The sequence below is a fragment of the Homo sapiens genome, chromosome 13 (genome assembly GCF_000001405.40).
Source record: "Homo sapiens chromosome 13, GRCh38.p14 Primary Assembly".
In the NCBI taxonomy this organism is placed as follows: domain Eukaryota; kingdom Metazoa; phylum Chordata; class Mammalia; order Primates; family Hominidae; genus Homo; species Homo sapiens.
This window is the reverse complement of record NC_000013.11, coordinates 35456477-35471806: the sequence shown is the minus strand read 5'-3', so window position 1 is coordinate 35471806 and position 15330 is coordinate 35456477. Positions and strand designations below refer to the sequence as shown.

General features: G+C 36.9%; 1 protein-coding gene across 14 annotated transcripts in view; it reads right to left on the bottom strand.

Moving 5' to 3' along the window:
• Nucleotides 1–15330, bottom strand: part of NBEA (neurobeachin) — a 730467-nt gene that overhangs the window by 200930 nt on the left and 514207 nt on the right. Inside the window, exon 1 of one of the 14 annotated variants that reach the window (XM_047430272.1) lies at nt 247–607. The exons of the other annotated variants lie outside the window; for them this stretch is intronic. The gene's annotated coding sequence lies outside the window, so the exon portion shown is untranslated. Of the gene's footprint in view, nt 1–246; nt 608–15330 lie in introns of those variants that run through there. 14 annotated transcript variants of the gene reach the window in all.

The following is a 15330-nucleotide window of genomic DNA, read 5'->3' as shown; positions in this document are numbered from 1 at the left end:
TAGAAAAGAACGAAAATCTTAGTCATTTTCTTACAGAGAATATATCAAAAGTGATGAAAATGTAAGACGCTTGAACAAAACGGTTCTCAAAAAACCGTGCGAAAGTGCTACTTCTCAACTTTTGAAACTACAGAAACAGCTTCACTAGAAGTGCCTGCCAGGGTGCTTGCTTCGAATTCCCTCAATCTGTTAAGGTTGAAAATCACGAATTACGCGTATGGAATATGAATTCAAATGGGATATTACCTAAATGTTTTCTGTAAAGTCTCCCCAAAGGGAGCCATTCTTCGCAATCCTGGATTCGAAACACGATATAACGTTATACATAACGTGGGGATCGGATGTAACTATTCATTTGTAGGTAGCAAGGGCGCATCATAATCCCTTCCACTTCTCTCAAATGCATACAGTCAGATGCGTCACAATAACAGTCGGAGAAAGGCAATAAAAAGTTAGGTTCCCCGCGGCCGCTAGGCCTCGGCCCTCCGGGCGGAGAGCCCTCGCGCCGACACCGCCCTCGGCCCCCGCCGGGCCGGGCTCGGGAGAGGCGGCCAAGTTGGCTTTCCCTGGCGCAGCACACACCCAATCTGCGACCGTCCTGCACAATGCCGGGCCGTTCCCGAGGCTGCGGGAACACAGAGGGCTGGGCTGGCTTCTGTCGCGATTACAAGGGGGTGGCTAAGGAGCAAACTGTGACAGTGTCAGCTTTCAGCCCTGTCGGGACTGCCCGGGCCAGACCCACGCACAGCCCTGTCTTTCATTTCACTGCTCTCGATCCCCCGATGAGCCCCCGGGGCTCGCGGACTCTGGGCCTCGGCCTCTGCCCAGCCGAGTCGGGGTCCACCTCGGTTGCACAAGGTTTTTCTTTGGAAAGGGAGAGGCAGTCGATCTGAAGCACCACTTTAAAGGATCATCAATCTTAATCTAGATTGCTCAAGTAATTACGCCCGAATCTCTTGTACGATTACAAGTGGATTTGGGTTTCTATTCCCCAGGCCCTCCTTTGTGTTTATTGGAGGGTCTGTGCGCGCGCTTGGCGGCGCCTCCTGCCTCCCGCGCCCTCCTCCGAATCCCCCAACGCTCGGGCCGGTTCGAACCGCTCCCTTAACCCTTAAGCAACCAGGACGCTCCCTTGGATGCCACTTTTCCTATCTTCTCTCTGAAGAAATCTATGCGGTTTACTCTTGCTTGGGGCAAGGTGAGAAAGGTGATTTGGTTCACACTGGAAACAAAGTTGTACATTGTTGGGCATTGCTAAAAACCTCAAAAAAGTCTCCATTCTAAAGACAGAGGACTATCAAGATTTATAGTTTAACAGAGGTTTCTGGCATTTGGAGACAAATAATGGTCAAAAACACTAAAAATGGTGAATTACTTCTTTCTCTTAAAAAGTAATTTAACGTATCCAAATTGAGAACATGAAAAAAAAAAGATCGTGAAACATCAAAACCATACCCATTGATTTATTGAAATACATTACAAATTTTAAGTACACATCCGTGAACTTTCCGTGGGGAGCATATCTTCTCTACTTCTCTGTGTTTCTGAAAGGGGACGGCTTCCTTTGGATTTTACTCCAATATCCTTCTGTTGAGGAGATTTTCTGGGCATTTATAAAAGGGCTTCGAACTGGTCTTTCTTTAAGAAAGACCATCATGAAATATTCAGCATTAATAGTGTGTCATTTTTACCCTCGTCCTTTGGAAATCTCCAATTACAACTTCCAATTCCATAGCATGTTTAAGGAGCACTGAATCTTTTTGTTGTAGTCTTCAGGGAGCAAACCAGCCGCAGAGAGAATACAGAGTTAATCCACTACAGAATAGAGAGAGGGGATTATGTTTTAATCCCCTTTGGGGGAGCCTTTGGATTTTAGGGATCCGATATTAAAATGTTTACATAAGGCACAATCACAAGCCAGCACATCTTCCATACAGTACTTGGTTATTTGAAAACCTCGGATCCCTTTCCAAATAAAAATAGTTTACAAAGAATAGCATCTCTGAATGATGGTGAGATGGTGATCTAGCTGATTCTGTTCTAGAAGATAACTTAAGTAACTACACATTTAACCTCCTAAACTTTGCTTGGTGTAGTGAGTTGAGGAATGACTGTAAATATATTCATCCCAATCACTACTATAGCAATAAAAGAATAAATTATAATGTCCTCGGCACACATAGAAATATTGATATTAAATGTTAAACAAATGGATAAGACAAACCTCTTCCTATTGCATTGATGCATATAATAATTTAAAATTCCACCATCTAAAGTGGTAATTAAAAGGAAAATATAAATGTTATTTACTTTTTACAACTGGCAATATAATGCTTAAAAAATACTGATCCATTACTATTTTTGAAAGAAGTATAGGGGTATTACTTCCCATTTATCTAATTTAAAATCTGAACTAGAACAAAAACCGCCCAAGCATAATGAATCTTTAAAATAATAACTTCTCTTTAGAGCTGTAAGATCTTTAACCAATTGAGATGGTAAACCTCATCATGGACCTACAGTAGAAAGTACACATTTTATATTAAAAAAGAAACAATTTATCAAATATATTTTAAAAGTAGAATGTTAAATACTTGTGGGTTTAGATTATCTTGATGAAAATAAAAATTTCAAGCACAGAAATCTTAATAATATGCTGACATTTTGGTAAAACTTTACAAAATTCTTTTTTTTTTTTTTTTTTTTTGAGATAGAGTCTTGCTCTGTCACCCAGGCTGGAGTGCAATGGCTCAATCTCTGGCTCACTGCAACTTCTGCCCCCCGAGCTCAAGCGATTCTCCTGCCTCAGCCTCCTGAGTAGCTGGGAGTACAGGCACGCACCACTGTGCCCAGCTAATTTTTGTATTTTTAGTAGAGACAGGGATTCACCATGTTGGCCAGACTAGTCTTGAACTCCTAACCTCAGTTGATCCACCTGGCTTGGCATCCCAAAATGCTGGGATTACAGGCATGAGCCGCTGTGCACGGCCACAAAACTCTTTTATATTTTTACAGAACTAATAGTCCAATATTCACAAATTTTAAGTTATTGGATGTGTCAATGCTTTCTTGCCAAAGACCACCAAGAACACATCTGTAGTTGAACAAGTGGGTTTTATTACTCATTGCAGTGAGAGAAACTGACAACAATAAGTACCATGGGGTGACTTAGGGGTGTTAAAAGACTCATTGTAGGATCTGGATTTTACTTAAGTGATTTTGGGAAGAGTTCAGGAAAGCAGGGCTTTGCTCTGGATTGGGCTCTGTCAGGCATCAGAAATAATTCAATGATTAAGTATTTCAATCAATCTTATCTAGAGGGAAGGAAGACTAAATGTATGTATGCTAAAGCTCTAATTGAAGAGATGTAGCAGTCACTCATATTAGCCAAAAGAGGGGAATGTCTGGTATTTTTGTGGTATGCACAGTGATCTTGCTTTTGTCTGTGCTTAGTCAAAATTATAAAGTTGTTTTTTGTCTCACATCATCATCACACAACCCTGTATGAAGTTGGTGCTCTGTGAGGTTGTTTATGTCCAACAAGAGAACGCCATGGCCTAGCTGTGAGCTCCAGGACAGTTCTCAAAAAGAATGAGGCTTAGATATAGGCAGGCCAGTTCCCAGAGGTCAGAGGCTGCTTTTTCTTTTTCTCAATTGCAGGGATTAATCATTTTCAGGGGAGGGGAGTGGGGGGGGGGTGTAAATCATTTTCAGGAGGGGGTACACTGCATTCTAGTGATTAAAAGGCAACGATGGCTATTAAATTTCCAAGTAATGCTAAGCTTCTTTACAACTTTCAATGTAAAGCACAGCAAAGACTACGTATGGAAAAAAAAGAGTTGGAGTTTAATTAAAATTGGAATTGTTAGAAGTATTTGATGACTTTCAATTGGTAAACTATATTTAGGGTACATAAAATTATAATGTATTTTAGAATCACTTGAATATTTCCTAACCTTAGTTTAATATTGTTAAAAGTTGTATTAGCTATATGGATTTTCTTCAGCTTCAATTACTTGGAAACTACATGCTCAGTTTGCTTTTAGAACATGTAAAATATTGTTATTTTGGGATAATAAACATTGACTAATCTTAGTAGAATTATTAAACTTAAAATCCTGACATTATTTAGAAGAACTAAAACTAATCTGAAATTCTTTATGTTCAATGTAAAATAATATTATTCCAAAGAAATCAGGACAAAAATATAATAAGGGAGTAAATTTTTACAATTATTTTTATAAAGTGGTATACATTGTAGGGAAATAATTCATAGCATGAGTGACTGAACATATCTAAAATATCTGTCACTGCTTTGGACTCTTTTATTTTTTTTAGATGGAGTCTTGCTCTGTCACCCAGGCTGGAGTGCAGTGGCATGATCTCTGGCTCACTGCAAGCTCCGCCTCCCGGTTTAAGCGATTCTCCTGCCTCGGCCTCCCAAGGAGCTGGGATTACAGGTGCATACCACCATGCCCAGCTAATTTTTGTATTTTTAGTAGAGATGGTGTTTCACCATGTTGGCCAGGCTGGTCTTGAACTCCTGACCTTGTGATCCGCCCGCCTTGGCCTCCCACAGTGCTGGGATTACAGGTCTGAGCCACCGCACCTGGCCATAGACTCATTATTTTTAAGTATGGTACAGTCAGTTTCCCTAAAACATTCTCCCCCATAGAAATAAATAATAAGATGTTTTAATCTCAAAACAAATTACTGAAGAATATAATAAAGTTGTAACTTTGTTTTGGAATCCTAGGAAAGCTTTGGGCATTATAAAAATGGAGGTATTTGTGTATGTGCATGGAGGGGGGAAGTTCTAGAAAAAATACTGTAAAAAATTTTAGATTCCCAAATTTTAGATATCCAGGATGGTTCTCTGGGTTTCAGGTGACTGAAGTATCTTAAGGAAATAAAAAAAAATCATAGTAGCAAAGTCTACAGATAGTGACTGTTTTATTTATATACAAATAATATTGATAGCTGTCCAGATAAAATTTCAGAGCAATGGTATTTTGAAATTTTCAAACTTTTTTTTTAGGGCTGGGCATGGTGGCTCACACTTGTAATCCCAGCACTTTGGCAGGCTGAGGCGGGAGGACTGCTTGAGGCCAGGAGATTGAGACCAGCCTGGGCAATATAGCGAGATCTCATCTCTATGAAAAATTTAAAAAATTAGCTGGGTTTGGTAGCACATGCCTATTGTCCTGGCTACCTAGGAAGCTGAGGTGGGAGGATCCCTTGAGCCCTGGAAGTCAAGGCTGCAGGGAGCTATGACAGTGACACTGCACTCCAGCCCTGAACTTTTTTTGCATGGAAATAGTTACAGGATGTTTTTGCTTGAATAAAATAAAAATACTTTAACAACTCATAGAATACAATGCCTTAAGGGTTATGAAGTTAAACTTCAGTACTACTTCCTCCCCAACATATTCACAAAGACACAATGTACTCTCCCCTAAACTATCCATTATAAATATTCTATAAACTCAAATTTTACACAAAAGCTCACTGTTTTCAGGAATTGGCCTCTTGATGCTGCTAGGTGACTTCTTGAGCATAATCTATCCTTAACACTAAGATTAACAATAACTAATTATCCCCACAGATCATAGTTTCCTTAGATTATTATTGTATAAAATGAGACAGATGAAGAACACATATTAGGTGTTTTGAGATGAGAGTAAACCTACATCTGAAAAACTCAACTTAGCACAGTCTAAAACAGACATGGAAGGAATGGAGCCCTCTTATATGAGCAACTGAATACTGAAATTTAGCATATTATTTGTTCATCATAGTAGATCATCTATTTTTACACTATTATCTAAAATCCCACCTTAATGTATTTATAATACATAATTTTAAAAAGTACTGAGAAAGACTCTTATATGCTCTAACTTTAACCTACTATTTATGTTTACCAATTTATTGTAGAGCAGGTAATTCTTTATGTTACAAGGAACCAAAAAAGAAAAAAAAAAAACTGCTGCATTTTCTGCAAAGGCAATGTGTGATTTCCTAGAAGAAAAAGCTTACAAAGCATATATACTATAAGTAAAATAGCACGGAGTTATTTTCTAATACAAAAAGTACTAAACAACAGTGATAGTTTCAATGTTCAGTGTGAAAATTTGCTCTGCCTTTTGATTTAATAAGTGAGCCAGCTGAGATTTCTGTTTCCAGTTATATTACATTTAGTTCAACATATGGAATACATTTTTCACCTTCTGGAAGAGTATTGACTCTTTTACGGCACTGGGATATCATTTAATGATCGGGAAGAGTAAATTTCTACTAGACTAGAGGAGTGAATAAACCAGAGGATATGATTTAAATCTTTGCACCCCTAGGTTGGATTAAGTAGCTTGCCTTTATATTTCCATAGTTTCCTAGCCATATCTTTATGGCACTTAAAATATATTAAATATATGTGTTTAAAAGTCTGTTTCTCCCATTTGGCACAAGCTAATTGAAGACAGGGGTTATTATCTTGTTCACCTATTACAGTATCTGTCATATAGTATGCAATCTGTGTTTGTGGAATTGAATATAGAAAATGATATATACCAGTGTTGCATTTATATGTCATAGTAAAAGCCCACTTAAATTAATATATTACATCTTTTATGTTTTTCTGAAATTGATTTCAAATTTTTCTTTATAAATATAAAAGATAACTGTATTTTAGAGAAAATATAAATTTAAAAATATACTGAAAACCAATGAGAGTTATAATGTAATTGATCATTCTAGTTATATTACATGCATACTATTATGGTTTTAAATGGCATAATTTTATGACTATCGTATTTTTCCTAGTGTATAACTTGCTTGCTCTTTGTAATTAAATGTGTAGAGACATATTTAATTCAGCATTCATTCATTCATTCACGTAGTCAACGAAAATTAATGAGTAGTATATTGTTTTTGCATATAAGGAGAGAATACAGCAGTGTATAAGACATACATTTTACCCACAAAGAGCTTATAGTATAAGGTAAAGAATACACAAGAATAATTATGACATAAGGAAGAAAGGGTTAAACTAAGAACTGTGTAAGGCACTTTATGTGATTTATTTCTCTTAACATCCCTGTGTGATAGCACTACTATCATCTCCATTTTACAGATAAGAAAATGAGACTCTGGGTTGGAGTAATTTAGAGGTCATACAACTAGTAAATGAGAGATAGGATTCAAAATTGGTGATCTGATTCGAAAGTCAGGGTATTTGTTATATACGCTGCCTCCTATCAAGAAAGGGACAGAAAAAAATTCTGGACATTCACAGAACAATCATGATTTCCGGCCTATTTTTGGTGGGGAAGTGAGCAGTTGGGATAGAATGATGGCAGTGACATCTGTAGTGAGCTGTGATGGATGGGTAGAAATTTGGACAAGTTGTGGTCTTCGAGAGCATTGTGAGCAAGGGGGAATAGTTTGGACAAAAACACAGTTGTAGGTGTAAATGAGCAGTAAATAAGTTTGGCCAGAGATGAGGATGTGTAAGGGAAAGCAGTGTGAGATGAAACGGAAAAATCATACATATACTTGAATGTCAGACTTTGTAGGTTAAGGAATCAAAGATTAGAGCTCAGAAATTATAGTGCAGAGCACTGGGGTTTACCCTTTTTCTGGGTCACACATTCTCCCGAGAAGATGGTTAAATATACGGATTTTTTTTTCTAGAAAAGTTCACCTATATATTTGTTCATCCTGATTATATAATAAATGAAGAATTCATATTTTGGAAAAAAATTAAATTTTTTTCATTTGTCTTCCTCTATCTACAGATTTTTCTACATCTGCATTTATCCCTAACTGTCTCTGTCTGCATTTATCCTTAACTGTCTCTGTCTGCATTTATCCTAAACTGTTTTTCAGCAGTTTCTGGAAATATATCTTTCCTCTTGTTTGAGGTAGTTACCCCCTCTATCTGTGCTACTAGTCCTACCCTCCCCTGCCCCCTCTGCTCTCTTATTTCTATCTCCTTTCTTCCCTTCTTTGTTAAGCTCTAGACATGAGTTTCCATTTCTTAGTTCCTCACTCCTATTCTCTCCTTTAGTTTCAGTCCAACCTCTACTTAGGCCAAGATGTTTGGGAAATACTCATTAATTAGTAAGTTAAAGGCTTGAAAAAGTCCATCAATTTAAAAAGTCTGCAACTTTTTCTGGTTTGTTTTTTTTTGCGACGGAGTCTCACTGTGTCACCCAGGCTGGAGTGCAGTGGCGCCATCACACAGTAACCTCTGCCTCCCAGTCTCAAGGGATCCTCCCACATCAGCCTCCTGAGTACTTGGGACCACAGACTCGCACCACCACACCTGGCTAATTTTTTAAATTTTTTCGTACGGATGGGGTTTCACCATGTTGCCCAGGCTGATCTCGAACTCCTGAGCTTAAGCGATCCTCCCGCCTCACCCTCCAAAAGTGCTGGGATTATAGGCATGAGCCACCGCACCTGGCCTGCAACTTATTTTTAAACTCACAATTTTCCAAACATATTTAACTATAGAGTTTCTTTTTTCTCATTAGCATCTTTCAAAAGACCTGTGTTACAAGGAGCATTAGTTTGAAAAATGCTGAGCCAGAGTTCCTGACTCGTAAGCATAGGATTCTTTCCTTTTCTCTTACTACTTTACTTCCTGCTTGGTATCCTATTATGGGCTCTCCTTCATTGGCTGCCCTTTAAACCTTGTGCCACAGGGCATCTGATTTTGGCCTACTACTTCTCTCTTTATTTTCTTACTTTCCTTAGGTGATCTCACTGGTTTCCATTATGAACTCCATGCCCAACTTGGCTCTCAAATTTCAAACTTCTATTCTTTTGAAAATTTTGGAGGCCCAACAGATCACGCATCTTCATCTCCCACCCACAGAAGACCTTGCATCTGCACATTCCCACACACAGTTAATAGCTTCTAGACCACCTCTCCTCTCAGGCCTGATTCCCCTCATTCTTACTCCCTGCACTAGTCAGTTATTACAGTCCTCCACAAATTACCTTCTAATTTTTTTTCTTTTTGGTAGCTGTCCCATTCTCCTTTCTCCTGCCTGCTGCCAATTTACTTGAGGCTCTCATCACTGCTGCTTTGGAAAACAGCCTCCTGTCAAGCTCTTACCTCAAGTCTGGGCATCCTAAAAGCATATTCTACACAAGGGCCAGAGTGATTTTTTTAAAAAAATTCATCACTGTCATACTTAAAATCTTTCACAGTCTCACAGTGGCCTTCAGGATAAAAACAAGGTTCCTTAAGGCACATAAAGCTCCCTCCCCAAGCGCTTGTCAGTCTCAACTTCAGAGACTCCCTGACTCATGCTTTCTACCTAAGTAATTTAGAACTACTGTAGTTTCACACAGAAGTTAATGTTTTAGTATACATTTCCCGCCATCTGCAACAACTCTCTAAATGTTTAACTTATTTTTCAAGACTCAAGAAAGGAAATACCCATTCTAATAAAGGCTTTCCAGAATCCATGTTATTCTAGGATCGTGTTTTCTGTTAGAATGGTTTCCTTTCTATATCTAGGTTAACTATTTTTTTCATTATCTCTTCTCCTCTATAACTTCCTGGAGGGCAGAATTTTGATCATATGTGTCTTTTTACTCTAAGCACTCACCATTATGTCTTACATAGAGTTGATATCCGATACTTATATTTGTTTTGGTGGGACAACCACATTCACCCGAGTGAAGTTTCGATCTAGCATCAGAGAATAAGGGTCCAACAGGTCCTTCCAGGTCTTGTCCCTACTTTGTGTGAATCTTGACATTTTCTATTCTAATCAGATTCTATTCTAAGAGAAAACAATTGACTTGTTTTTATTGGACTGATGACTTGAACTGATAGAACATATTCTACTGGACTAGCTATTTGTAAATTAATTGCCATGTAAATACTTGTCCTTAGGGCTAATTGTTTAAGTATTTCTATAGCTGCTATTCTGGCTCTGCAACATCAAGCCATGGAAATAAACTAATTAAACAAAATATTTTCAGTATGCAGAAAGACTTATTGATCCTTCTGTATAGCACTATTCTAACTGTAGTGGCAAAATCTCTTTTTAACTTTATGTTTGAGTAAGCGGCAAAGTCTTTCAGGGAGAGGACCAGGACACTCTTAGGTATGGCAGTGACAAGATAATGAAGAGCTCACTCTTCCTCCTTTCCAAGTTGCTAACATCCATAATTTGATACTAGGAAAATTGTTTTGTTATCTTGCATTTTCCCTCAAATGTGATCTAACAAGATGACCCACATATTTTCAGTAGGTGATCAATATCCTCATTCACATGCTTAAAAACAACCATGAAAGCTTAGTCACCTCCATATAGAAAAATATGGTTTCCTGGTAAGTTAGTTATTTATTGCCCCATTCTCCAGATTGGTAGACAGTATGACTATAAATTTGTAGAGGAATTAGTTTATGATAAATTCTCCATACAGAGAAAAAAGTAGAAAATCAAAATGGGTTTCAACTATTACACTGTATTAAGAAAGAACAGATCTTATGAGTACGGTTTGTGAAACACCTGACCATAACAAAGGGTGGCTTTTATTCTTAAAATTAACAAAAAATGCAAATTATATATGATTTATGGTTGATGCCTACTGTTGTGTAAATATGTTTGTTTGTCCCCTCCAAAACTCAGGTTGAAATTTAACCCTCAATGTGGCAGTATTGAGAAGTGGTGCCTTTAAGAGGTGACTGGGTCATTAGGGCCCTGTCCTTGTGAGTGAATTAATCCATTTGTGGATTAATGAATTAATGGGTTATCATGGGAGTAGAACTGGTGACTTTATAAGAAGAAAAAGAGAGACCTGAGATAGCATGTGAGTTCCCTCAGCCCCTCACATGTGATGCCGGGTACGGCCTCAGGACTCTGCAGAGAGTCCCTACCAGCAAGAAGGCCCTCACCACATGCAGCCCTTTGACCTTGGACTTCTCAGTCTCCATGACTGTATAAAATAAGTTTCTTTTCTTATAAGTTGTCCAGTTTCAGGTATCCTGTTATAAACAACAGAAAATGAACTAAGACAATGTCTAATAAGCATGGTTGAATTGTGTCTTTTTATTATATTTTTAATTTACACAGTTTGGTTATCAAGGATGTTGTTACAATTAAGAGTACCTTATAGTGTTTCATAGATGATGGAATCATGGTTGAAGGGGACATATGTTTATGGAAATAAATATGGATTACAGTAAAATGTTTGCACATTCTAAAAGGACCTGTAGACTTTTTGAAAATAATGAAAAGAGGCAAAGAGGCTCAATATTCAAGATGAAGCTTTTATTTATTTTTATAACACCTTAACTGATATAAAAATTAAGTTAGAAATTTAAATACTTTAGCTTTTATAAGAAATAGGCATGTATTAATGTTGTCTCTAAGAGCTTTGTGAATTCTGTGTTTGAAGCTGAATGTGAATCCTTTGGGTATACTATTTATGACTGGCAAAGCAACTTCCTCATTCAAAGAGAGAAAAAAGACTCATAAAGACTCATAAGGCTTTTTGAACATCAAATAGCTTTCACTAAACAACATTTTGATGAGTTAAGTGTGAGTGAGTCAGGGACATATGGATTAAATTTCCCTTAAAATACACATGGGTTTAAAAAATACGGGGAAAATTCTGAGCAAAACGCATTTTAGAGAATCCAGAATGTTTAAGAGATATTTTCCCCCTAAATACAAGTATCAGGTTGAATAACTTCTAGTTAGACTCTGTAACTAAAAATGAAATAAAACTAAATATGGAGGAATCTTTAAAAAATACTAGTTTTGTTGGAGACAGAATGTTACATTCACCATATCAGAATTGCAATGCACAGAGTTAGGCTTAAGCAGATGGATTTGAGTCTATCTGCACTGAACATGCTCTCTCCCATAGTAAGTATTCCAGTCAACAGTTACAACAAAATTTTCTGTGCCACTGGCTTATACTATTATTCTTTTTTAAAGAACATATTCTTAGACAAACTCTTAGCTTTTAGAATTCTGTAGTTTATTTTAATTATGTTTCCCCAGAATCTTGAATTCTTTCGTCTTCCCACATGCTCTACATTTTTGTTTTATTCTCATATCTAGCTCAGTTTGTAGAAAACATTCAATTTATATATAAACAACTTTGCCTGTGGTATCTGGATATTTGAAGTTAGGACACTGAAGGTCTAACTGCCAAGCTGATTATTTCAACTGTCTACTTTCATTTCTTAGGGAAGATACATTATCTGCCATAACTTCCTGGTTATTTGAGTTACCCAGAGGTAGTGGTAGCAGAGCTAATTCTCTTGAGGACTTTTTTTTTTTTCTATCACAATCTGAGTACCAATGTTCTATATATTTAGTAGATATTCAAAAGATGTTAATGGTTAAGTAAATGAGCAAGTGAATGCATTCAAAAAGACATTTAGGAAGGCAGAAATGGTCAGCCTTAAGAAAAATTCTACATAATGCCCCCTCTTCCACCTACCAGCCCTGTTTTCACCACTGGATACCTGATTTTGTTTTGAACTAGTAGAACAATAGCTATGGAATATGTATACAACCTAACCAGTTTACAAGAAGAAAAACAGCTTGAAAATATATTGCCCTCTAAAAATCAGGGAAGGTACAACTGGGAAGTGTCATGGGCAACAAAGTGGGTCATGAAGGAGATGACTGGCACTTCAGAGAGCCTTTTAGTAGATCTCCTCCTTCTGTATTTTTCTCATTCTTAATTTACATAATTACTTTTCTGAATTTTGGATTCTTAACTTGGTAAGTGTGTGTGTGTGTGTGTGTGGGGGGGGGGGGGCGGTGGTAAAGAAATATAAACTTACCATTATGAAAAACCCAAATTAAAAAAAATCCAACACTTACATTTGAATACTTCTTCCTTGTGTTGCTATCTCCCTGTACTAATTACTTAAAAAATATCAAAGTAGCATTACAATCCATTGGATATAGAACAGCTTTTCTATTTGCTAAATTTTTTTTACAGTAACAGTAGGTGCGGTATTTTGACCTTATAAATTGGAACTTACAGAGACATTTAGTTAAAATGACACGTTTACCAGAAGTGGAAATGCAATAAAGATTAGCTTAACTTTAGCTGTTCCTATCCTGGAAAATTCAAGTGATGAGCTGAATTGAAATTCAGCTTTTGGTATAATTAAGTTATACCAAAAAACAAAAGACAAAACAAAACTTATTATGAGCTATTGAAATTATTTGAATAATTCAGTTAGTATGAGCAGATAGTCTGATAATTTGAGCCCCCAAATATTTATTTCAACAGCTCGTAAGTTTTGTTTTGTCTTTTGATATAAACTAACTCAATAATTATCTCAGCTTTCCAGTTTACCTACATAACATTTTTAAGTGGGAACCTTTGAGGGCAAATAATTGCGTTAGGAGATTTCTTCATGGTTCAAAGCTACACAGTATATGAATGCTGTCTTTAAGCGATCTAGTCTAAAAGGACAGAGAAAACATGGAAGAACAGCTACAATGCAAGGCTTTATGTGGTATGTGTCTTAAGAATGATACAATCAAAATGTGGTGGGGCGGCTATAATAAAGGAAGACAGATAATAACATGTCTTGGAGAGGATATGGAGAAATTGAAACCCTCACATGCCGCTGATGAGAATTCAAAATGGTGCAGCCTCTTCGGTAAATAGTCTAAAAGTTAAACGTGGAGTTATTATTTGACCCACCAATTCCCCTCCTAAGAATATACCTAAGATAAATGAAAACATATGTCCACATGAAATTTTGTAAAATGTTCACAGCAGAATTATTCATAGTAGTGAAAAGGTGGAAACAACTTGAATGTCCATCAACTAATGAACTGATAAATAAAATGTGGTGTATCCATACAATGGAATAACTGCCATAAAAAGGACTACATGCGGCTGGGCGCGGTGGCTCACGCCTGTGATCCCAGCACTTTGGGAAGCCAAGGTGGGCGGATCACGAGGTCAGGAGATTGAGACCATACGGCTAACACGGTGAAACCCCATCTCTGCTGGAGATACAAAAAATTAGCTGGGCGTGGTGGCGGGTGCCTGTGGTCCCAGCTACTCGGGAGGCTGAGGCAGGAGAATGGCGTGAACCCGGGAGGCAGAGCTTGCAGTGAACCGAGATCTCGCCACTGCAGTCCAGCCTGGGTGATGGAAAGGGACTCTATCTCAAAAAACAAAAAAAGGGACTACATGTCAAAATATGGAAAGGGCTTGATGACACCATGCTAAGTGAAAGAAGGCAGACACTAAAGTCTATCTATGATTCCATTTGTATGCAATGTCCAGAATAAGCAAATCTATAGAGACAGAAAGTAGATTAGCGGTTGTCCAGGATTGCGAAAGAGGGAACAGGAAAATTGGTGAAGAAAGGCAAATGATAACAAGGTTTCTATCTGGAGTAATGAAATATTTTAAAATTGATTTCGGTAACAGTTGCATAACTCTGTGAATGAATATACCAAAAAATCACTAAATTGTACACTGTAAACAGGTCAATTATATGATATGTGAATTACATCTCAATAATGCTATTTCCAAAAAAAAATGCTAACACAAAATATTATGGAGATGATATGACTGGCCAGTGAATATTTCATAAGTGTTTTAAATGGGTCTTAAAAATGGGTAGGGTTTTTAACAGGAGGAGATGGGAGAGGGAGTGGAACAGAGAAATAGGAAGGATATTGCAGGTGAAGAAGTGTGGACATTAGTTTGGGCCTGTGAAATTTTTAAGTTAGTAGACATTAACATGGGTGGACTGTTGGTAATAAAAACATATATATCTATATCTATATATCTATATATATATAAACTAATAACAATATACGTATGTTGTTATTGCTAACAGCAAATATATATGCAAACAAAAAAAATTATTACAATTTACAGAACTGTTAACAAAGCATAAAGAACCATCATTATCATTAACTCACAATTCCCTAAATTAGTAAAATTACTAACTTTTGGAAGAAATAATAAGGAACCTATATACATTCCAATTACACTATGTAAAATATTTCTATTATCACTCAGCATATGTGACAGAACTACCATTCTAAAAGAAATGAAATACGTTTCATTGGTGGGATGCCATTTTTTCAATTTAATTAAATCCTTCACTTACCAATTTATATAAATTTGAGTTAATCTTGAATTTCAGTTACTCAATAGTTATTTGAAGAAACAACTTGCTAAATTTCAAATTAAAATAGGTAATCAAGATTTTATATTAAAATTCATTGAATTATACCAATCTCAATGTTTTCAGTAAAAAATAAAATTAGTAAATTGAAATCTTTAGTCACATATGGGATTTAG